Here is a 26,142-nt window from a genome sequence, read left to right on the forward strand (position 1 = left end):
CCAGCCACATTAAGCATTTGGACATTTTCTTTTTTATTTATTTGTTTTTCATTATTAGTATTTTCATTTTTTGCAGATTTTAGGTGATGGGCAAGTCAGAAAGTCAGATGGATATAACTGATATCAACACTCCAAAGCCAAAGAAGAAACAGCGATGGACTCCACTGGAGATCAGCCTCTCGGTCCTTGTCCTGCTCCTCACCATCATAGCTGTGACAATGATCGCACTCTATGCAACCTACGATGGTGAGTTACTCCCACACCTGTGCATCCATAAGTGCAAAAGAGAAGGAAATCTTCCTCCATGCTTTTACCATCTATCCAACGAATGTGTTAAGGATAGAGGCACTTAAAGACTGACAAAGAGATTCATTTATAAAATGTAACATCAATATGTCAAAATAATTAACTTTGAAGTACGGTGCCTTTTATGTTTGAGCTAAGTTATTAATTGCAAGTATATTTAGTGCGCTCACGCTTACTTATGAGGAATCTAAAGTATGGTTTTATTTGATTAAAATATACACAATTTTATGGCCAGCTTTAGTAATAGTCATTAGTCAACTTTTGTTGTGTCATTGAAATTCTAAACGGCTTCACAGGAATTTAACAAATTTAATTTGAGTCTTGGAAGTTTTTTACAACAAGGATGAAAAAAGATTGATTGTTTAATGGTTAAAAAAATGATTACCAAGCAAAAACAACTGATTATTTCAATTTAATAGGCCTGGGGCTTCGTTGGTAGAGAAGATATAATAACACATTTTTCTTCATAATCAAAATTTTAAATTTAGATTTTACTTATTTTATTTTCTTATATTTTTTCTAACCACTGACAATGATATATAATGTTCAGTTTTTAGTTCTTGCTTTAAGAAATTGCTTATTTAATTGGCAGTTTTTAAAAGAACAAAAGAAAAATAGAAATTTAAAAATTTGTGTTGCCAATATTTATGTATATTCTCTCCTTTTTCTAGATGGTATTTGCAAGTCATCAGACTGCATAAAATCAGGTAAGAAATGGTTTTTACGTGTAATAGTTATACAACTGATGTATAATATTTAAAATTAAATGCTAATCTTAATTTGCTTTGTTTACACTTTTATTCATTGTAGATCAATTATTTATGTGTCTGGCTCTATAATCAATGGAAATAAAAATATATTTAAGTAGTAGATTAATTAACTTGTTTACTCTGAAAAATATATTACTATTTTCAGCCCTGGGCTGTATAGCAGGGCAATAGAAAACTATATCGCTATTTGTATGGAGCTTGCCATGTAGTTGAAGAAAGAAAATGAACACATATGAAATGGTAAGTTTCGTATCATTGTGTTAAATGTCTCAGTGCACCTCACTAGGTGGGTGAGAAGAAGGGAGTGAGATGTAGGCATGTAAATCTAGGTGGAGAAGTTAAAATCTGGGAAGAAATTTCATTTTATTTATTTTTTTTATTTTTTATATTTTGAGACAGAGTCTCGCTCTGTCGCCCAAGCTGGAGTGCAGTGGCGTGATCTCGGCTGACTGCAATCTCCGCCTCCCGGGTTCTAGCAATTCTCCTGCCTCAGCCTCCCAAGTAGCTGGGACTACAGGTACCCACCACCACGCCTGGCTAATTCTGTATTTTTGGTAGAGACGGGGTTTCACCATATTGATCAGGCTGGTTTCGAACTCCTGCCCTCAGGTGATCTGCCCCCCTCGGCCTCACAAAGTGCTGGGATTACAGGCGTGAGCCACCGCACCCAGCCTTAAATTTGGGAAGAACCTTGAAGCAGGGCTAGAATTTAGATGTGGCGGTGCAGAAGAGGGAATTCCAAACACAAAAGAAAGAAACTATGTTATTGAGAAGTAGTAAAAGTGTACGCTTGATAGAAGGACACATTATGGAGAACCTTGAAATCCATGTTTAGCCTTGATATTGTAATACAGGAGAAACAGATATTTTTGAACAGAGGAGTGATCAGGCCAAAGGTGAAAGATGATTCTGCGAATGTGAGGTTGACTGGATTGAGTGAAAAGGAGGGCAGGCAGGTGGGGGCTGCTTCTGTACTCCAAGTGTAAGCTGAAGAGGTTGGCCTGTGGTGAGAGAAGAGTACTATTGAGATAATGGGGAGGGAGAATTGGGTGACTCAGTAGAACTGACTTGCTAAATAAAATGAATGAATTGAGAATGATGCCAAGTTTTAAAACCCAAGGGACTAAAGAGAATGGAGGCAGCCCACACAGAAATAGAGAGGTTATGAGGTGGATGTGGATGTGTTTGGTCTAAGATGAAAATAGACAGGAGGAAGGTAGAGATGAGGTTTAAGAAGCTGGAATTTGGATTTGAGATCTGTCAGTTTAGGAGTGATAGTGGAAGCCTTGGAAGTATTTGAGTTCTCAAAAGAAGAGAAGAGGTTCAAGGGCTAAACTTAAGAAGAGGTTCAAGGGCTAAACAACATCAATGATTAGAAGAGAAGAAAAATAAGTCAGAGCAGAAAACAGAGAAGTGTATGAAGCTATATAAATCCCATCAATTGGAGTGTGGTGAAAATGGGAGTATTTCTTCTTTCTTCAAGAAAAAGGAAGGTGGTAGCTGAGGGCAGCACCTGGGATATGAACACAATATTTGTGTCCTTTAACAAGAGATTCTAAACCTCCTTTCTAACATCTATGTGTCTTATAAGAAATAAATAAACTGTTCCAAATAATTTTAACCATTTTCTGCTGGATATTTTTAATTTTATTTATTTATTTATTTGAGGCAGGATCTTGCTCTGTCACCCAGGCTGGAGTGCAGTATTGTGATCACAGCTTACTGCAGCCTTGATCTCCTGGGCTCAAGGCATCCTCCTGCCTGAGCCTCCTGAGTAGCTGGGACTATAGGCACCTGCCACCATTCCTGGCTAGGTTGTGGGTTTTTTGTTTTTTTTGTTTTTTTTTGTTTTTTTTTTTTGTAGAGACAGGGTCTCACTATGTTGCCCAAGCTTGGTCTTGAACTCCTGAGATCAAGCAGTCCTCCTACTTGTCTTCCCAAAGTGCTGGGATTACAGGCATGAGCCACTGCACCCAGTCTTGGATATTCTTTACTTGGATTTTTGTTATTCACTGAACTTTGCAAAAAAATGACGGGAAAATATCTGGCAATTCTAGGTTATAGTCTAATATCCTGAATCTGTGCCCTTTGGTTTTTTTTTTTTTTTGTATCGTTTTTTGATGGATTTTTTTGCTCTGGGTCACAAGAGCAATGACTAGACACCCTGAGATGTGATGTGGGGAGCGTGAGGGAGACTTGATTTAGATGTTAGCCATTTGCTGCTCGACATAGTAAGTTTTTCCCAAAAACGAAGTTTCTTTATTCCCCAGGGAAATGGCTGCACAGGTACCTTGGCTGGGGGATCTCCGTGGTCATGTGCAAAAGTCAGCATGTGCCCAAGTTGTCAAAGTTAACGTTTACTTCCTCCCCAGATCCTCCTATGCTTCCTCTCTCTACCAGCTACCCTATTATATGCTCAGGCTGTCCTGTTTCGGGAAACTTCCACTTACATATTGACTACTAAGGGTTAATTCCTCTGTCTTTAATACACTTGACATGTCTCTTTGGTATCTTAATCTATAGATTCTCTCTTCTCTCACTATTTTTCCTTTTTCTCTTCTTTTCCTTGAATTTTATTTTCGAAGAAACTGGATTTTTTGACTAGGTAGGTGTATTTCTATAAACGACAAGTGATTTTGCCTCAGAGATCTAGGCAGGTTTTTCCTCCCAAGGAGCAATGTGACATTCAGAATCTGGAATCTTAAATGTGACTTAATGTTTAGAGATAGGATTTTTAAATAGTGTTTGGCAAGTCTCAACTCACTAAAATGTATTTAACCTGTATCCTTTAATTGTAGCTTAGAAATCAAACCAAATGTAAAACACCTTGCAGGATGTATCTTGGCAGAGAAATGTATACAATAGAAATAACTTCAGTGGTAAACAAGGTTGCTGTATAGCTGTATATTTTTCTTCATTCTGCTCTGTTGGTTCACAAGCCATTAGAATACTTGTTCACATTGGTAGTTACTATTCTTCCTAGGAGAATAAATAAGATGACACACACCCTCATGGATACACTCTGCATACTCATAAACACACACACTCGTGCGCGCACACACACACACACACACAGTCTTCTGCTGGTTAGGAAATCTTTTCTGCCACAGAAAAATACAACTATTTCTTTTAGAAGTTGTTGCAAATTAGGAAAACCCTAGAGGAAATCTTGGACAAAAGCAAGTATTAAAGAAGAGTGGCCAGAGTAGAGTAGATGGAAAGAAAAAGAAATGTGAAAAGAGAAGGCTGGGCACGGTGGCTCACGCCTGTAATCCCAGCACTTTGGGAGGCTGAGGCGGGCAGATCACCTGAGGTCGAGAGTTCAAGACCAGCCTGACCAACATGGAGAAAACCCATCTCTACTAAAAATACAAAATTAGCCGGGTGTGGTGGCGCATGCCTGTAATTCCAGCTACTCAGGAGGCTGAGGCAGGAGAATTGCTTGAACCCAGGAGGTGGAGGTTGCAGTGAGCTGAGATTGCGCCATTGCACTACAGCCTGGGCAACAAGACTGAAACTCCATCTCAAAAAAAAAAAAAAAAGAAAAGAAAGAAATATGAAAAGAGAGATGTTGAAAAAATATAAAATATCTTACCAGCAAGTCTATAGGTCACTTTAAGAGAGTGGGTGGGTTCAAACCTGAGCTCAGAAATTCTTGAGAATGGGAAAAGCAAGTATTGACACTCAGGGTGCTTACATTATATGAAAGATGGCCCCAACTTGAACCTTTCTTCCAGTGGAAGGGAATGTCATAGCAAATGTACTTATCTTTGATTCTTTGAAGTCAAGGAATACAGAAGTCAAGCCATACCAAGACAGAAGTAAAATATTGCAGAAGGCTGTTTCAAATCTGTTTGGTGTTACATATTTAAAATCTGAGCATCTAGGATTTAAATATTTATGATGTACATAAAATGATGTTTATGTATACTTTAAATTAACTTGCCTATATGTGTAATGCATCAGTATGAAAGATTACACCAGACCTAAAGTAAAACAAATACCACTTAAGAAATAACAACTTAAGGCAGGGATCAAAATGCTTCAAAGTATTATTCATCGCTTATTTACCCTATAAGGTCATCAAAAACTTAGAGTTATAAAACTTGTATGTGATTTTGCAGACTTTTCCGTGTAAGTCTGAATCCTGAAACTGATTTCCATTGCATTGTAACCTCCCTAACTTAGATTTCAAGGAATCTTGTGCTTTAAATCAGGGTTTCTCAACTCAATCACTATTGATATTTTTGTGCTAGATAATTCTTCGTTGTGGATGCTATTCTGTGTATTATAGGATATTTAGTAGCATCCCTGGCCTCTACCAACTAGATGTCCAGTAGCAGTCCTCTCCTAGTTGTGACAACCAAAAAATGTCTCTAGCCATTACTAAATGTCCCCTGCAGGCAGCACGGTCACTTATGACTGGGTACCACTGGTTTAAACGGTCTCAAGATGTTATCAATGCTTCCCTCTTAACGGTAGGCAGGATAATGGCCTCTCAAAGATATTCACACCCAATTCCCAGAGCCTCTGAATATGTTGCCTTATATGGCAACATGCCTGTAATCCCAGCACTTTGGGAGGCCAAGGCGGGTGGATCACTTGAGGTCGGGAGTTGAAGACCAGCCTGGCCTACATGGTGAAACCCCATCTCTGCTAAAAATACAAAAATCCAGGCATGGTAGCACGCGCCTATAATCCCAGAGGGAGGAGAATTGCTTGAACCCAGGAGGCAGAGGTTGAAGCGAGCCAAGATTGCACGACTGCACTCCAGCCTGGAAGACAGCGCAAGACTCTATCTCCAAAAAAAAGAAAAAGACAACAGAGAATTGAGGGGTCTGCAGAAGCATATGTTAGAAGTGTGGTCCTAAATTATCCAGAGGCCAGAGAAGCCAAGCTAAGACGTGATCAATACAGTTTACAAGAGAAAGTGGGACCACCTCCACCTGTATAGTCATGCAGGTTGTACACTGCATATTTGTCGATGGCAGCCTTGACAGACAGGCTTGTGGAACATCAAGACCTGGATGAAACACCTCTCAGAACTGTCCACTCCTTTTATTTTAATTCTGCACATACCAAGAAAACTTTTGATGATTACTTAATTATTAATACAAGGAGAGGTGGCATTCTGTTACTTGAAAGATATTTTCATCATGGTGAGATAATGCACAGCGGTCCCCTTCTTATCCTCTGAGGATCCCCCAAGACCTCAGTGGATGTCTGACACTGGACTGAACCCTATATATGCTATATTTTTTCTGTATACATACCTATGATAAAGTTTAATTTATAAATTAGACAAAGATTAATAACAATAATTAATAAAAAATAAAACGATTATAATATTATTCCAGCATCACTATTCTTATGGTTTGGGGCCATTATTAAGTAAAATAGGGTTACTTGAACACAAACACCATCATCCTGCAACAGTTGATATGATAATAATGGAGAAGGCTCCTTCGTGACTTTCATCATGCTACTCAGAATGGTGCGTGATTTAAGACATATGAGTTGTCTGTTTCTGGAATTTTCTATTTAATATATTGGACTGTAGTTGACCATGGGTAACAAACCATGGAAAGTGAAACCACAGATATGGGGGAGACTACTGTACGCACATACTGATTTAATCAGATTTGTGTGCTTTGAGCTATGACCCTGGAACTGAAATGAAGCTTGCAAATGTCTGCAAGGGCCAGATCATGGTGATGCCCTAGGTGATGCATCTTGGCAACAGCTAGCCTTCTCCTGGCTGTCACAAGGCATCTCTGCCTTCTTGCCTGTTAACACCTTGAAACCTCCATGAAGGAAAACAGCACAATTAGGTAAATACAGGAAGGACTGATGGCTAACTCATGGGGGCTACTGGCCCTGTAGCAGCCTTTTAGTGTAGGAAATGAGGCTATTTCATTATGTAGTTAAGTTTGGAAAAAATCCTTCATGGAATAAGAAAGCAGCAGACATCTTAGTAGGAAGACCACTGAAGCACACCTTTGTTAATTTAAATGTGGCATGTGGCAATTTGCTTTGTGTGGCTTCCCTGGCACAATTCTCGTGAAAATTGTGTAGGGATATTACCTTACATTTATCCAGTCAAAATTAGCATCTGTCAATCAGATCCTTTCCAAGAAAGGGAATCAGTTATATCATAAATACACAAATATATAACATGTGTTTTTTACCCTCCAGGGAAACTTTAAGCAAGTAGTACACCATCATTTTTTAATGAATGGTCAAGAAATTGAAAACATATATAAGTTGAGTTAAGCAGTTAAAGGGAAAGACAATTAGCAATGCCTGGTAAGCTAAGTGGTACTCCAAAGGTTTATTTTATAGCTACAGAAATTATCTACATGTAGAGGGGGTGGATACAAACTAGCTTAGACTGGGGTGAGAATCCTGGTTTGACATTTAACATTTTAGAATAAGAGATATAGAAAGATTCCTCTGTAGTTGAAGGATCCTGTTTTGTCCTACTCATAAGCAAATCCATGGGGTAGCAAGGTGCTTTCTGGTAAGCCTTTGATATGATATGAAGCTCAAGTTGATAAAACAGATTAATTGAAGGAAATTGAAAAATACGCAATTTAAAAAACCATAAGGAGAATGTTGCACAAGCTTTTGAATCCTGTAAATTTTCATTCTTTAAGACCATTCAGAAAAGGAGATTTTGTCGGGGGCCAGTGGTGGCTTGTTTTGATCCTATTTCTGAACCAGCTGAAAACTAGAATACGTTCTTTCTGTTCAAAACATCCTAGATGGGCCACATATTAGTCAGGCCTTCTCCAGAGAACAGAACCAATGGTATATGTATATAAAGTCTCAGTATCCAAAGGCCCAAGAACCTGGAGTTCTGATGTCTAAGAACAGGAGAAGGTGGATGTCCCAGTTCCAGAAGAAACAGAGGATTTCCCCTCCCTCTGCCTCTTGTTTTATCTAGGCCCTCAACAGATTGGATGATGCTCAGCCACAATGGTGGTAGAGTGTGGATCTTCTCTACTCAGTCCACTGATTCAAATGCCACTCTTTTCCATAAACATCCTCACGGATGCACCCAGAAATAATGCTTTAGAAATAATGCTTTATCAGCTATCTGGATATCTCTTAACCTGGTCAAGCTGATACCTAAAATTAACCACCACAGGCTACAGTGAAAAAGATAGTTCCAACTGTGAGTGAGGATGCGGAGAAACTGAACCATCATACATTAATGGTGGGAATGTAAATTTTAGTACATCTGGATCAACATGTTAGAAACATTTTGAAAAACAGTTTGATAATTTTTACAAAATGTTAAATATATACTTTCCATACAACCCAGCAATTCTACTCCTAGGTGTTACTTAAAATAAATGAAAACACATATCCTCACAAGGACTTCATTACAGCATAATGCTGTTTTTATAAATAATTTATAAAAGCCAAAATATGGAAATATCCCAAATATGTATTAACAGGTGAATAAACAAAATGCCATATAGCTATAAACTACGATACCACACAGCAATAAAAAGGAGCAAACTACTGTTATGTGCAATGGTGTAGATAAACATCAAAAACATTATGCTGAGTGAAATAAGCCAGACACAAACTGCATATTGTAAAATTCAATTTATATGAAATTTCTATAAGAAGCAAAACTATAGGGGCAGAAGACAAATATTGGTTGCCTGAGGCTGGAGATGAAGCAGGGATTGGCTGCAAATGGGCATAAGGGGACTTCTTGGGGTAATGGAAGTGTTCTAAAATTGGACTGTGACAAATTCTCAGCTTTTTGGCTAAAGATCAAGTGTAAATTGGATTGTGGTGATGGTTGCACAACTGTGTAAATTTACCAAAAATTAATCGGGTGAATTTTATGGTATACAAATTAATAACCCAAAGCCGTTAAAAAAAAAAAAGCAAACAAAAATTCACCTTCATTCTTTCCCCCATCTCTCCAATGTCCATTTTTACATAGTTATCTCATGTTTTGATCTTATGCTTGCTATTGTATGTTGAGTCCATTGAGCTCCATTTTTGCAGTTTAAATGATTATATGTAGTTTTCAATGTAGTTTTCAAATCTTCACTAAATAAACTCAAGCTTTTTAGTTTGAGTGAGCCTCTATTATTTAATTATATTAGCAATATATTGACGAAAAGTCTCTGGAAATAGTAAATCAACTGGGAAGTTAAAATTATTTCAGGATTAGGTGTTGGAAGTCCTGTTTTCACCCCCTGGGGTTTCACTTACAGAGGAAGTCAAAGACATATGTGTCCAGGTGTACCAGCCATCTGGATCAAAGCCAGACCACTTGGTCTACCACAGAGCAGTTAGCAGTTCCTGCTTCTGGAAAAATGTGTTGGTTTTTCACACAGGTGCTGCGAGATGTTTTCCTTTTCACCTTAACTGATAGAAAGTCAAGAGCCAGGACGGGCGTTTTGGCTCACGTCTATAATCCCAGCACTTTGGGAGGCCGAGGCAGGTGGCTCACGAGGTCAGGAGTTCAAGACCAGCCTGGCCAAGATGGTGAAACTCTGCCTCTACTAAAAATACAAAAACTATCTGGGCATGGTGGTGGACGCCTGTAATTCCAGCTACTCGGGAGGCTGAGGCACAAGAATTGCTTGAACCCAGGAGGTGGAGTTTGCAGTGAGCTGAGATCTTGCCACTGCACTCCAGCCTGGGCGACAGAGTGAGACTCTGTCTAAAAAAAAAAAAAAAAGATTGAAAAAAAGAAAAAAGAAAAAGTCAAGAACCAAATTTGAATTTAACTTGAAATTGTAGGACTTCTTTGTATAAACTTGCTTCATCAGCTTTATTCCTATTCCTCTTTTCTTTCTCATACAATGTATATTAGTTTATTTTATGTATCCCTCTAAGGCCACTTTGAATTATTTTAGGAAGAATGTAGGTTAATAATCAGATGAATAGAATATAAATTCCAACAACTGATATGTGCAGGAGAAGGGCTGTTAAATTATAAACTTTATTTCAAAGAGATGCAAGTGTTATGAGTAACGGAGGCACAATTTTTGGAAGCTTACTGCTTCTTTTTCCACTAAGCCAACTTTTAGCATGGGAGATCTGGGATGTAAGTTTTGGCCACATCCTGTGTGATTGGTATGAGATCCTAATTAAGTCAGTTCAGCTTTCTGCATTTCATTTTCATTATCTACAAAATTGGAATTGAAAGTGTCTCATTTTACAGGGAAACAGCAAAGACTAACGACAGCCTATTTCATGTTACACGCCCTTCAGGGAGATGCACCATAGGTATAATGCACAGATAGGATTCATAGACATCTTATTTCATGAAAATTGCAAATGCACTATTTAAAATTTTTTATTGAGAATCAAATAAAAATCAAATCAAAAGGCGAACAGTGTATTTTTAAAGAGGAAGTTGTAGCCAGAAACAGAGAGAAAGAAAAAAGAGAATGTGGTACATTTTACATATTCTCAAATAAAAATGTGTCATCCTTTATGAACAACATTTGATTTGATTGCTGTGCTCTGTCTTAGTATGGGGGTGACAGTTCAGGCTTTGAATCAATTAGAATGAGCACAATCAGAAATGAACACTTGAATCTGTGTTTCCTGTAAAGAAAAGCCTACCATCAGGGACACCTTAGTTTGTAAACCTAGCTAATCTGCACTCACCCTTGCCAGTACCCCTTTTCTCACCTCTGATTAATCCCTTGAAGTAAGTAAGTCAGAGGTCTGCATCAGGAGAATGACTAGATCCTTGGTATTCAATGCGTGGTCCATGGACCAACAACAGCAGCAGCCACTGAGAATGTGCAAAAATGCAGTCTCGGGCTCCGCCTCAGACCTACTGAATCTGTGGCTGCACTTTCAGTAGCCTCTTCAGGTGATCTGCAAAATAAGGTTGAGAAGCACTGAGGAATAGTGATTTTCAAATATGGCTGCTTATTACAATGATTTGGGAAGCTTTTGAAATGTACCCATACTACTAAACCTTCCATTCTTCCTGGGCACACAAAGTTTCCATTTCTTCAGTGGAGTAGTTTCTGTTATGTGTTAGGAGGAAAAGCAATTTAAGTAAATGAATAGATGTTAAGGGGTATAGGAATTGCCTGGATATTTGCATTTTTAAAAGAAGGTACATATTGACCAACTGATTGCTTTAACAGGTTCAATTTCAGACTGTGTGCTCAGTGAAGACTTTAAGTTAGAGAGGAGTGAAGACTTTAAGTCAGAGAGGAGAGACACTGAGCCTGATTTTCTGCTTATCGTGGACAAGCTGAACCTGGAATATCTTCCTAAATTTCCCCAGTGTAATGCAGGCATGCTATTTCTGTAGAGACATTAGAACAACTTTTTGCCTCTTCCATTCATTCATTTATTGATTTATCTATTCATTAGTTAATTAATTTTATTTTTTATTTTTTTTAGAGGCAGGGTCTCCTTATGTTGCCCAGGTTGACCTCAACCTCTTGGGCTCAAGCAATCCACACGCCTCAGCCTCCCAAGCAGCTAGAACAACAGGCACATGCCACCATACCTGGCATTCATTTTTTTTTCCACAAAAGCATTAATCAAGCAGCTTCTAAACATTGAACACTAGACATTGGAAATATGAACTAAAATACCCCCTGCCGTCAGGAAAATGAAAACCTGGTCAGTGTGACAGACATAAACAACATTACCATATGGTTTGATAAGTGCTATGATGGTGATAAGATTTGTGTGCTACAGGTGCCCTGAGAGAGGAGCACCTAAACCAGAGCGGGTCTGGGAGTGGGCAGCTAAAGTGATAGCAATGAGGCCGGGAAAGCAGTCGCACTTCACCAGCTAAGTTCTGAAGGATAATTGAATTGCCCAACCAGTGGGAGCAGAGGAGAGCATGTGCATAGTCTGTATGCAAGATGGAGGCAAGAGCTCAGGAAGTTTAGGACCTACTAGTGGTTCATGATGGCTGGGATGTAGAAGCTAGCAAGACTTGATACTAGAGAAGTAACCAGGGCCCAGGTCACACAGGGTCTTATATGCCATGATAAATGGGTTGCATTATCTCCCGAAGTCTACAGAAAATGAATAAAATTAAAATGCCGCAGGGGACATCTAAGGGATTTTAAATAGGGATGTGTGACATTGTCAAGATTGGCTGCTGTCTAGCTCAAGCCTGGTAAAGTGGAGGCAAAGATTTACCCAAACAAAGGAATAACATTTTGGTGCCCCTGGTGTGTGAGAGAGCTTGGCAATATTGAGAAACTGAAAGAATATCTGTAAGGCTATCATAGAGGGTGTGTATGAAGATATGAGAGTGGAGGCAAGGAGAAGTGTTCACTATTGGCAAAAGAAATAAGCAGGAATTGGATTTTGTAGTCTGTGTTAAAGTGAATGCACTTCCTTCTAGTAGCGGTGGGAGGTCACAGAAGGAAGGGTTTTAAATGACGCATGACTTTATCAGAATTATTGAGAAAGATCACTGAATAGAAATAAAGAATGGCTGTGGGCAGGAAATTGGGCTACTGCACTTATTTGGATGAGTATTATGGTTGCCTGGATTTGAATGGCAACAGTTTTTATTGTTGTTGCTGTTGTTTGTTTGTTTGTTTGTTTTGAGACAGGGTCTCACTCTGTCACCCAGGCTGGAGTTCAATGGCACAATCACAGCTCACTGTAGCCTCAACTTCCCCAGACTCAGGCGATCCTCCCACCTCAGCCTCCTGAGTAGCTGGGATTACAGGCATGCACCACCACACCCCGTTAAGTTTTGTAATTTTCTGTAGAGATGGAGTTTCACCATGTTGCCCAGGCTAAGAAATGGACAGATTTGAGAAATATTTACTGGGAAGTAGAATTCATAAGGCACAATGTTTCTGTAAATAGGTGAGGTTGTGAAAAGGAAGTGAGGAAAAGGTAACTCAAGTTTCTGGCTTGGTAAATTGGGTGATAAGTCAGCTGTTCACCAAGCTAGGGAGCACTGAAGCAGAGCTTATTGGGTAATAGGCTGGGACCAATGCAGTGAAGAGTTCACTGTGAGATAGTTTAAATTTGAGATACTGGTACATATTCGATGTGGTAGAATTCAGGGAAGATGGTGTTGGAAATAAAGATTCGGGGGTCATCAGCATGTGGATGATATGGTTGAGATTTCTTAGGGAGGAAATGGAGAAGAGAACCCAGAATTGCATCACATAAAGCAACATTTAAAAATGAGAAGAGGAAGAAACTCCAAAAGAAACCGAGAAGTAATCAGAGAGGTAGAAGGAAAATCAGCGAAGTGTAAAATCACCAAAGCAAATGGAGGAGCAGCTGTCCAAAATTAGAGAGTGATCATTGGAATTAAGCACAGCTGAGAGGTTGAGTAGGCTAAATGTTGAAAGCAGAAAGGAAGACATTGAAGATTCAGGTGAAGATCAGGTGGAAAATTGATGGATTTTGTCCAGAGGAAGTAAAAGAGGATGTATATCCAGAGAAAAGAATATAGGATGATTCCGAGATAAAGGATGGCCTCCTCCTCCCCCTTTTATTTAATACTAGGGAGAAAGAAGCCAAGATGGCTGAAATGCAAACATGTTTGGAAGCTAGGAGGGACAGGAAGTTGAATGGGTCATCATCCAGTTGCCTTTGTGAAGTAACAAACAAAAATCTCCGCCTGGGAGTGAGCTGGTAGAGAAAGTAAGTAAGGAGAGTATGAAGACTGGAAAGTGTCCATGTGAGGAGTGGGCCATGCACACAGAACTGATGGCTCTGTTGAAATGGAAGGCTATAACTTGAAATGGCATTAAACCAGGCAGTTGTGGGGTTTCTCCAGCATCACCGATAATGGCTTCAACAGATATTGTCAGCACTGTTTTAGATGCTAAGGATACTTAGCACCTAAACGCAGAGTGAGCAACACAATGTCCCTGCTTACAGGAGCTTACAGCAGTAAAGGAGACAGTAAATAAACACACACACATATAAAAAAACATTATTAGATAGACTAGAGTTGGAAGGGAAAAGGAAGGCAGCTGGATCAATTCAGGGTAGGCTCATTTGCAGGGGGCAAGGGAATGAAATACTTTGGTGAGATGATGGTTTCAGGGATGGCACCACAGGATGTACACTGGACAGAAGATATAAAAGAAAAGTAAAGTAAAAAATAGAGTGGCTGGCTGGGCGCAGTGGCTCACGGCTGTAATCCCAGCACTTTGGGAGGCCAAGGCAGGCGAATCACCAGGTCAGGAGATCAAGACCATCCTGGCCAACGTGGTGAAACCCCATCTCTACTAAAAATACAAAAAAATTAGCTGGGCGTGGTGGTGCCCGCCTGTAGTCCCAGCTACTCGGGAGGCTGAGGCAGGAGTATCACTTGAACCCAGGAGGTGGAGGTTGCAATGAGCCAAGATCGCACCACTGCACTCCGGCCTGGGCGGCAGAGTGAGATTCTGTCTCAAAAAAAAAAAAGAGTGGCCATGGGGTGAGAGTTTTCAGTGAAGTCGAGGAACAGGTGTAGAGGGAATAAAGAAATGAAACAAACAAACAAACAAAAAACACTTCTAAGAATCAGAAGATTCTTATTGGAGAGGGGGGTTACTCGAGATGAAGATTTCAGAGGTACAACTGTTCTGGGTGATGAGAACATTAAGATGTCGTCATGAAAATGTGTAGACTAATGTGAAGTGAAGGTGAAAGTTAGGAGAGTTCAGATGGTCAAGAAATTCTTAAGCTAGAGTGTAGCAGAGGTTGTCCACAGGGTCTCTGATGTTACATATCAAGATGGTAGAACTTATGTGGAAGGGCAGACTGCACAAAGTGCCAGAGTCTTAAACAAGCAGAGATGAATGCCTCTGGAGTCAGTAGAAGACAGAGATAAAGTAGGTGAGGCGGGGATGGTTGACTGGCAGAAGCTTAAATAAGCAGAGTGGACAGTAAGGATTTGGCTATTGCACCAAGTGATAACAGAAAACTAGTTTTGCTTTTCCATGTTGGGGCAAGGTGGAGGGATATGCCACCTGATGGGATTAGTTCATATGGATTAGTATTTTCAGTACACGTGTTGTCATATGTAATTATCACTCAAAAGGGTAAGCAGCAACTAATAAGAAGAGGTGCTGGAGGGCCACCTGTCTGGCATATAGTGTGGGATTCCATTTGATACAATTACAAATGAATTCATTTTTACTCATTTTTATCTTTTCACTATCCTAGATAAAAACTCAAAATGAATCAATGAGTTCTTATCTTAAAACAATATGTTCTGTTTAAACATTTCTCAGCGGTATAATCTTCCTTTAATCTTACATTTCTTCAATCCAGAGGAGTCCAACTACAGTGCCTTCACCGTGAAGCTAATGAAAAGGGAGTTGGTCCACTGTGTAGACTAGACTAGATGATTGCGAAGTTAAATTGAAGTAATTGAGCAGGTACCCAATAGCCAGCAGCGGATTTGTTTCTCTGTTCTTGATGCTTAAGTAAAAACAAGCAAGCCAAGTATTAAATGGTGGAGCTCCTGACAACACAGCTTCATAAAAAAGAAACTGCTTGACTCAAGGAGTGTGTCCTTGCGATAGTTTGCCGAGAATGATGGTTTCCAGCTTCATCCATGTCCCTACAAAGGACATGAACTCATCCTTTTTATGGCTGCATAGTATTCCATGGTGTATATGTGCCACATTTTCTTAATCCAGTCTATCATTGTTGGACATTTGGGTTGGTTCCAAGTCTTTGCTATTGTGAGTAGTGCTGCAATAAACATACATGTGCATGTGTCTTTATAGCAGCATGATTTATATTCCTTTGGGTATATACCCAGTAATGGGATGGCTGGGTCAAATGGTATTTCTAGTTCAAGAAAACCGAGGCAATACCATTCAGGACATAGGCATGGGCAAGGACTTCATGTCTAAAACACCAAAAGCAATGGCCACAAAAGCCAAAATTGACAAATGGGATCTAATTAAACTAAAGAGCTTCTGCGCAGCAAAAGAAACTACCATCAGAGTGAACAGGCAACCTACAGAATGGGAGAAAAGTTTTGCAATTTACTCATCTGACAAAGGGCTAGTATTCAGAATCTACAAAGAACTCCAACAAATTTACAAGAAAAAAACAAGCAACCCCATCAAAAAGTGGGCAAAGGATATGAACAGACACTTCTCAAAAGAAGACATTTATGCATCCGACAGACACATGAAAAAATGCTCATCATCACTGGCCATCAGAGAAATGCAAATCAAAACCACAATGAGATATCATCTCACACCAGTTAGAATGGCGATCATTAAAAAGTCAAGAAACAACAGGTGCTGGAGAGGATGTGGAGAAATAGGAACACTTTTACACTGTTGGTGGGAGTGTAAACTAGTTCAGCCATTGTGGAAGACAGTGTGGTGATTCCTCAGAGAAATAATTTTAATAATGTTTGAGTGAATCAAATATACAAATAGTATTGTGATGCAGTGTACCCACAATCATTAACTCAACTATGAATTACTCAAAGCACTGTAGATAATAGTCTAGCAAGGATCTGACAATATGTTGAGAAGAAATGATGCACATGAAACCTTGAAAGTCACCTTAAAGAAACTCATATCATGCAAATATGAATATTTTAATAGCTACTATAAAATAGTAGAGCTGAGTGCTGTGGCACACACCTGTAGTCCAGCTACTCAGGAGGCTGAGGCAGCAGGATCACTTGAGCCCAGGAGTTGGAGATTAGCCTGGGCAATGTGGCAAGACCCCATCTTCAATAAATAAATAAATAACTTAGTAGCAATTGGTGCTATGAAACTTTTTGATGTAGCTTGGATATTTGTCCTCGCCCAAATCTCATGTTGAATTAATCCTCAGTGTTGGAGGTGGGGCCTGGTGGGAGGTATTTGGATCATGGGGGCAGATCCCTAATGACTTGGCCCTGTCTTTGCAATAGTGAGTGAGTTTTCATGAGATCTGGTTGCTTATAAGTGTGTGGAACCCCCCCACCCACTCTCTTCCTCCCGTTCTTGCCACGTGAGATGCCTGCTCCTCCTTCACGTTCTCTCATAAGTAAAAGCTCCCTGAGGCCTCCCAAAAAGCAGATGCTGGTGTTATGCTTCCTGTACAGCCTGCAGAGCCATGAGCCAATTAAACCTCTTTTCTTTATAAATTACTCAGTCTCAGGCATTTCTTTATGGCATTGCAAGAACAGCCTAATACATTTTGCATGGTGCATATCAACTATGGTAATAAAGTGAAAACAAAGAAGTGGGAAGCTTTGAAAAGTTGACAAATTGGTTGAGTACCATATGGAACTCCAGCTGTAGGATCAGTCCCATTCCAGGCCCAGGCACTCACTGGGGCCAAGGTCAGTAGCTCAAACATTCCACTTCCAGTCAGCCCTACTCTTGGTGATCTGCCTCTGACCCCAGCTCTAGTAAATGGGTTTCTGCCTTCTCCCATAGGGATTTCACTCCTGGCTCATTCCCCACTTCTGGAAAATGAGTTTCTTTTTTTCTTTTCTGTCTTCTGGGACTGAAATCTAGCTTAGCTCTTAACCTCATGACCTTTTGCCAGACCACGGAGAACTGAAGTTTCCTTGGATCAACACACACCATCTGCTGGTTATAGCTCCCTCCTCACAGCTGCCGTGGGTGCCCTCCCTGTGTGACTTATTTCTGTTGCTTGTAGCTGAGAACTTCTTCTGTTGATGGTCCTTTATAGTTTAACTAAACCGGGATTCAGTCTCACTGGGCTAGTCAAACCACTTCTACCAGAGCCCAGTTTATGTGAATGATGAATGTTTTACATGGAAAAAAAATGTTTCTTCATTTACTGAGGAAGGAGCACCTTCACTGATTTTGTATGCCAACACAGACAGCGAAGGATCCTGCTTGTCCTTCACCTATCAGCCATCACACCTATTAGGAGGGGGGAATTGGTCTTTTGTTTTGTTTATTTAGTAAAAGGAAATCTAATTATATATTAAAAGTTAAAAAAATTTTAGATCCTGCCTACATGACTTTAAAATGAGCAATAAAAGTCATTTTTTATTCAGGGATAGTAACAGGAAAAAGAAGCTAGTATCAGAATGTTTTAAGATTCCGATACAGTGCATATGCAGGTTTTAGTTTACAAATAGCAGATGGTGATGATTTACTATAAGAAGGTGTAATTAATTGAGAATGAAGGATCCTTTTGGAGTGTCCATTATGGGCTAGTCATTGTGCTAGGCGTAGGAATTAGAATCCTTTCCCTGGGTGGGGGTATACTTAAAATTATTGCTTTTGTATTCTATGGATTACCTTGAAATACCCTTTGAGTCATTTCTCAAAAATTGTGCATATCATACCGATCTGATAACTCATTGCACTGTTGATCTGAGGCTTCATCCCCTCACCTAACCACATGGTCATCCATTTTGCAGTCCACAAGAGCCCTTCCTGGATTCATGGAAAGAACTTGCTCTCACTTGGGCTTGAGAAAGCATAAGTCAACTTGGCAGGGCATGTGTTAACAAGATGATTTAGAACTTTGCGACCAGCCAGAACCATAAAGACAGCTTGTAATAAAAGTAAAGCTGTTCTCATGAGATGCCCATGATGAGGGCTTCTAGGGCAAGGCTGCTGTTTCTTGCTACCTCAGCAAGAATGAGGTCTCTTTCCCATGATCATTTCCCTCCCCTTCACTGGGCAGGGTGACAAAGACCAGGCCTCTGCTCCCACCAGTCAACAACAGGCAGGGCTCCCAGCATGCCGAAACCTTGAGAGCTACCTCTTCCTCCTTTATCCCTTCTTCAGAGGGTAGCCTACCTGTCCACACCGGCAGAGAGTCACTCTGCATGTCAGTCCTCTTTCGGTTGCCTCTTTTGTCAAAAACGTCACCTACTTTCACTGCCTGGGACACAGCTCAGAACCTGACTCAAATATTTGTTGAATGGCCAACGGAATGAATGAATTGCCCTCTCTCCTCTACCTTCAACTGGTAGCTCCCCCTTCATTCCCAGAGCATCCTATACGCTTTACCTATAACTCATATCCCACTTGTTATTAGTTGTTCAATGTCTGGTTTTTGTCCACTAAAATGTAAGTTTTGACTGTTTCTATTTTATTCATTATTCTATTTCTAGCACCCAGCAATGTGTAAGTTACCAATAAATATTGATTGAATAAATATACTCTCAGGTTCCTTACCTTGAAGTCACAAAACTATTGATGCCTATGCAAGGTGACTTGTAAGCATACCTAATACACAAATATAGCTGCCTCAAGGAAACGTTTTCAGTCTAGCTAGGTCCTGCTTATGTCAGATTTCTCAGTTCAGTATTTCTGTATCAAGCCTCCTAGGTTTAGCCCCTTTCTATCTGATCCATCTTCTTTGCTAGCAATAAAGTCAATTACGCTCTTCTCAGTTGTCTAATTCACCTTGCTAATTCTACCCTCCTAAGCTAGAACTAGGTTAATGAGGAAACAGTTTCCGGATGTGTTTCTATTTCCCACTATTTTTCTGTTTAAGGGAAAATTTCAACTAATTTTCTACTTGGGTGTAAGCATTTCCAGCTCTCTAGGAGCAAAGTCTCTATCAGTCTGGTTTTTCTTTTCCAACTGTGGTTTGTTCTGAATTCCTCCCTTCTCAATAATTTATTTCTTCTCTCTTTTAACACTCTGTGTTCTTCTTCTCTTGAACACCATTATTTAGCTAAGTGTTGCTGTTCTTCAACAACCACCATCCTCTAAAACTCCTCTGTCCCTGCTCACTTCATTCATAACACACAAATTCAAATTCCTAGCCAGCTCACGCATACATGCATAAACTCACTTATGGAAGGACATTACAAGAGACTCCTTACCTCTAGGTTAGGAGGAGCTTTACTTATCAACTGAATACAGTAGGAGCTTTACTTGTCAACTGAACACTGAGTAAGTTTGAGAATTGAAAATGAGACCTGAGCATCACAAAACAACCTTTCATATCTAGATATAGTTACCATCTAGGAGTTCACGTGCATTATAAAAGAAATGGTCTTGTTTAAGATGAAACCCTGCAAGCTCTGTGAGGGCAGGGATTATGTCTGTTTATCACACCATGGTATGTTCAGTTCCTAAGAGTGTCGGGTATATAGAGGCCGTCAATATTTGTTGAAATTAAATGAAAAGTTTCAGTCTTTTCATGCTTCACAAGAAGAAAATCTTTTGGAGAAAGCCAATGATTTAACATAATCTTCTGGATCTTCTATGACAGAAAATAGCTATTTAATCCGTAAAAAATATAAACATATGGAGCCAAATACTGCCTTGTGCCAATCAAATGTTTGGTTTATTAATAGTTACTAAATTTATTAGTGCTCTCTAGAAAAGAGCCTTTTTAGAATTTGATTTCATTTTAGGCAGCATTCGAGAAGCACTGTCGACTCAGCTTTCCTCTGGCTGTTGTCTTTTTGTACCACTCCCTAACCAAAATTGATGCAAAGGCAGGATGCTTTGAGTTACTCTCAGTAATCACATATTATTGAAGTCAGCTGGTTATTCTTGACAGACAATATGATCCAAAATAACACAATGTTTAAACAGAAGGAACATGGGTGTGGACCCCCATTGCTCCCTCTTCAGAGATGTCTGCCAGGGTCCAGGGAACTTGGGATCTACCTGAAGAGTGTTACTAAGGGAACAATGTAGCCTTTTCATGACCTTCTATAGCTTTAGTTTAAAAAAGGAACATTATCATCATTTGCTAACATTACAATCAACAGCAGATCTGATAACTCATTTTAAGTGATATATTGTATTTAAATTACAGTATAATCCCTAATAGCTTTTTGCCAGCAGAGTCTTTCAGGATTCAAAATGCAAATTGCACCTGAAAAAGAAAAATTATTTTTAGACTTATGGCACTTTAACTTAACTGTAACACAGTTAGAATACTTTTTATTATTATTATTATTAATAGAATATGTTTCGGTTGCGAATTCTGGAGGAATCCCTACTGGAAAATAATTGCCAGTCCTCCCTTGGCTGTGAGCCATTCATTGAAATGGACTATGAGATAAGACTGAAGAATTTCACTAATTTCGGGAGTGCCAACTGAAGTTTATTATTGTGAATCCATTAGACATGAGATTTCTGTGATTATCTCAATGAGTTCTAAAATCCAGGTCCAAATGAGGTGGAAAAATTTTATATGACTATATACATGTTATAGAGCAATTAATATTTTAATTGGGTGTCAAGAAAAGCAGTGGTTGCTCTATAACTTAATTTGGGTTCCTCTGCCTCTCTGTAGAGTTTCTGAAAATTTTTAAATGTCATTTGGAGTTAAGGCAGAATGATACTGTGGAAAAAGCATCAGCTTAAAATTAGACCTAGGCTCAGCTTTAGTTGAATTCCTTAAATTTACATTGGTGACGTTGAGTTTGTAACCACCCCATACCTAGATTTTCTTAAAATAGGAGTAATATGTCCTACTTTATAAAGCAGTTCTAAGGAAGAAAAATGATTAGAACCCAAGGCAGTTTCACATAGTATAAGATCCCAGACGCTGGCCACCAGGTTTCTTGAGTTCAAACCCACTGCATTATCCTTTGCCAACTATGTGAACTTGGGCACAAATCACTTACCGTCAATTTCTATATTTGGAAAATGGGGACACAAATATAGTTACCATACAAGGTTAAAAGAAAACAAACATTAAAGAAAGCATTTAAAAAACAGCCATCATGAAGTTGGCACTTGGCGTTTGACATATGTCAAGTGTTGGCTTCTATTGTTATTATTATTATTACATTTAAGCGTCTTTGGCTAAACCTAAATGAAAATCCTATAATTTACATTGTATATTTAAATCTGATAGTGAATTTATCTGATAGCAAATGGATTCTAGGTTGATTATTCATATGCTTGTGCCTACGTGTGTGTATGCATATTTGTTGTATGTATAAGACCTATGGATTTAAGATAAATTAGTCACATGTATATATGAAATATAGTTATAAACTAATTACTCCCCAAACTAGAACAGCAAAAATAGGTCTCCTTACTTAAGAGTACAGCTGTACAGAGTAAATTCACTATGCTTGGAAACTTCTTTCATATCTATTTGTGTAAGTCTGCAGCTAGTTTCTGAACAGTTGTATAGTGATGGTTTCATGGTACTCACCAATTAGACAAGTATAAGTCATGACCTTGGCTTTCTTGGAACGTAACCAGTGGTTGACAGGGAGTGTTTGAGTTAAATGATAAACTAGCAGTCCAGTTTACACTCAGCATCTGGTATCCCCCACTCTCCATCTTTCTTCAACCAAGGCATCACAAAAGCAATTTGGGGGCAGGCATTTTCATTTAAAAATGGAGAGTGGATTGTGGAAGCATCCTGAGTGTTTGTAATGAAAGCCATTTGGTTTTTATTAGCATTAGAGTCTACGTGCTTGCTAGTTTTCAGTCATTTTCTCTTCAAAAATGGTTCCCCAGATTCCAGTTTTCACATTGCTGCCTTTTGAATTGAATCCTTTGTGACCCGTTGTGATTACATTGCATTTTCCTTGTGTTCTTTTAAAAAGTTCTGACTTTCTCTGAATTGTGGTTGGGGGGATGGTGGGAGGAGGGTGGCAGCAAGGGAATAGGGTCACTTGTACTTTTAGAATGTTGTCAAAAGAGATTTTTAAATTGTCAAAAATTGCCTAGAAGTAATATCAAGCTTAGTGTCTGCTAATAAAGCAAGGATTTACAACAGAAGGTTCGGTCAGAAATGGGTGTCCTAAGGTCTTTACAAAAGAGCATTTGCTCCTGGGTTCCCCAACATTTCTCTGACCTCTGTTGGACAATTCTAGAACAGTTATAAATCAGGCTAATTATAATGATGTTAGGATACTGGTGTTGTGTGTTTGGGGTTAGGAAGCTGAGAGCTTAGGCAATTTGAAGACAACAAGCTGAAAACAGCTTTGTTCATATACCATTCCCTAAACATTAATTCAGTGCAGATTAAGAATAGTCAATGGAGGGACCGGGCGTGGTGGCTCATGCCTATAATCCCAGCACTTTGGGAGACTGAGGCGGGTGGATCACGAGGTCAGGAGTTTGAGACCAGCCTGGCCAACATGGTGAAACCCCGTCTCTACTAAAATACAAAAATTAGCCTGGCGTGGCAGTGGGTGCCTGTAATCCCAGCTACTTGGGAGGCTGAGGCAGGAGAATTGCTTGAACCTGGGAGGTGGAGGTTGCAGTGAGCCGAGATCGTGCCATTGCACTCCAGCCTAGGCAACAGAATGAGACTCTGTCTCAAAAAAAAAAAAAAAAAAGGAATAGTCAACGGAGGAATTTTGTCATGGCACTGGGGGTATATATGTGGTATGTATGTTGTAAATAGATGCCTAACCTATTTAAAACGTGGCTAATTTATAGTGACCAAGAGTTTTTAAAATAGAGTAGTAATTGAGAAAGAAATGGTTTGTATCTTTTTCCCACTTAATTTTCTTTCCTGTTTTGTACATTTTTCTAGATGCTTCAAAAAGACCCAAAGAAAAGAGGAATATAAGCACAGTCATTACTCATTATTTGTGGATTCTCTGTTTGCTAATTCACCTACTCCCTAAAATGTATTTATTACCCCCAAATCACTATTTGCAGCTCTCTCACAGTCATTTACAGACATGCACAGACTGGTGAAAAAACTTTGAGTCTTTCTACACACATGTACTCAGCTGAGATTGAACAAGGGAACTATAGACAAGGATCCTTTTTGTAGTCCATTTAGTCAACGTTTTTTGCATTTTTGTGCTTTTTAATGATGATTTCACTGTTAAAATGCTCCACAACCATAGTGTGGAAGTGCTATGTAGTGTTTTGAAGCACAAGAAGGCTGTGATATGCCTTACAGAGAAAATATGAGCAATGGATAAACATCGTTCAGGCATCAGTTATAGTGCTGTTGGTGTGAGTTAAATGTTAGTGCATCAACAAAATATATTAAATAAGGTGTCTTTAAACAGAAACACACATAAAACAAGGCTATGTATTAATCATCTGTGTGTCCAGAAGCCCACAGGAACCTAACCTTGTATTTCCCCTAGGGTCAATGATTCAGTATTCACTAATTCAGTGTAGTAGGGACTTTATATAGAACAAAACTCATATAAATAACTAGAATAAACCACACTTGTTTTTTAATTCCTGTGAAATAATTCATATGGGAAACCATCAAAGACCTGCTAAGTAATGATGAACATTAAAAAAATTAAACTGGGCCGGGTGTGGTGGCTCTTGCCTGTAATCCCAGCACTTTGGGAGGCCGAGGCGGGTGGATTACCTGAGGTCAGGAGTTCGAGATCAGCCTGGCCAACATGGGGAAACCCCGTCTCTACTGAAAACACAAAAATTAGCCAAGCATGGTGGCGGGTGCCTGTAATCCCAGCTACTTGGGAGGCTGAGGCAGGAGAATCGCTTGAACCCGGGAGGCAGAGGTTGCAGTGAGCAGATATCGCGCCATTGCACTGCAGCCTGGGGGACAAGAGTGAGACTTCATCTCAAAAAAAAAAAAAACAAATTAAACCCATATAATAGTACTACAGCACAAAACTTTATGCTATCTATTTTGTTCATTTGCTGTTTGTGACTATCATATTTATGTCAACTTTACCCTGTTTTATTGACAAGTACCCAGGAGCACTTGAAAATGTAGAAATTCCTTTAAACCCTCCCCCCTCCACCAGAAAACAAGCCTCCAGGGAATGCACATATATAAATATTAAGATAGTTGTTGTGTATAGTGCCCAAAATCCTATTTTCAGTTAGCAAACTATTGGTAATGTTGGAAAGCAAGGCATCCAGATAAGAAAGGGGAGATCTTGTGGCTTGGAGGCCATTCAAAGGCAGACTTAAGGTTGCGTCTTCTTAAGGGAGACATGTAGTGGGGGTCCCGTGTAACTGGAATTTCACCATGTCTAATCGTGTCTAGCAGACCAATGGAATGCTGTGCCTCAAGTTTCTTCTGAGAGGCCTATGAGCCTCATGAGATATCAACAAAAATGTTTCTTGGCCATCAGAAGAGAGAAGTGATTTTGAATATAGTATAGTTTTTGCTATTATAATCACTCCAAAACCAGGCCTGTTGGTGCTTGTGGTTCTTGAGAGAGGAGGCCATGGGGGGTGAAATTCAAGAGACCTGTTTACCTATAGGCACAAGAGCCCTCCTCAAGACTTGAGACAATGAAAGATGAGGAAGGGAGGTATTTTCCCTGCATCATCCAGCTTCAGCACCCAGCGGGAACTGGATCATGGGTGGTGTCTGGGTAGGAGGCTGTGGAGGCTAAAGTCAGTGGAGCAGAGTGGAAGCCTTGGGGTCGTGGGCTTATGCATGAGACACATGTGAGGTTCCGTGCAACACTTTACCAGCCAATTATAAGGGACTGAAGTCACTGCAAAACATAGGTTGCCATGATGTAAGCCCATTTGCATTTGCAGACTGAAAAGGCAAAAGGAAATATTCCTGATTCAAGTAAGTATGGGACTATACTTTTTTGATATTGGATCTGTTGGTCCTCATTTCTATGTTTCTCGATTGTCTAATGTGGTGGTTCCCCCTGACTGCACATTAGACCCACTCTAGAAAACCTTAAAAAAATGTCTGGACCCCCTCCAAAGATTCTGACTGAATTGATCAGGAGTAGAATTCTGGGCATCCGTGTGTCTAAAAGGCTTCTCAGATGATTCACATGTTTAGCCAGGGTTGACAAGTACTGTCCTAAAACATATTTCTGAGATTTTTCACACTCCATTTTCCAATGTGCTCCAAAGATAGCTTAGGCAGGAACCCTGCTACATGGCCACTTCAAAAAGATGCACCCCTGCATGGGCCTTTGAGTGCATCCACCTAGCGTGGCCTCCATGCCACTTCCCTGTCTGGTTACTCCACTATAAAAAATTCATCCGCGGACTCTCCAAGTCCTCAAGCTGTACATTGTCCTGCCTTTGTCCCAACAAGAATTGTTGGTGATAAGTCCGACAGTGGAGAGGCTGTGGCTGCAGAGTGGCAGGAAAGAGAGTAAGTAAAGGAGAAGACAGGACAAAGGAAGAGTAAAAGGGTACTTGAAAAGGACTGGAAAGGAGGGCCCTGCAAGGTGCTGCTTCTCACGTGCTCCCCACCAGCCTTCTGC

General features: G+C 39.7%; 1 protein-coding gene across 11 annotated transcripts in view; it reads left to right on the forward strand.

Annotated features, from left to right (window-relative positions):
- Positions 1 to 26,142, forward strand: part of MME (membrane metalloendopeptidase) — a 159,528-nt gene that overhangs the window by 59,880 nt on the left and 73,506 nt on the right. For 10 of the 11 annotated variants that reach the window (NM_001354642.2, NM_000902.5, NM_007287.4 and 7 more), the window contains exons 2-3: positions 77 to 246; positions 978 to 1,013. In NM_001354642.2, the coding sequence (NP_001341571.1) occupies positions 87 to 246; positions 978 to 1,013 (196 nt within the window). In that variant the 5' untranslated portion in view covers positions 77 to 86. Of the gene's footprint in view, positions 1 to 76; positions 247 to 977; positions 1,014 to 5,752; positions 6,420 to 26,142 lie in introns of those variants that run through there. The other variant, NM_001354644.1, reaches the window with a different exon arrangement.

This window comes from Homo sapiens, chromosome 3 (assembly GCF_000001405.40).
Source record: "Homo sapiens chromosome 3, GRCh38.p14 Primary Assembly".
Classification (NCBI taxonomy): Eukaryota; Metazoa; Chordata; class Mammalia; order Primates; family Hominidae; genus Homo; species Homo sapiens.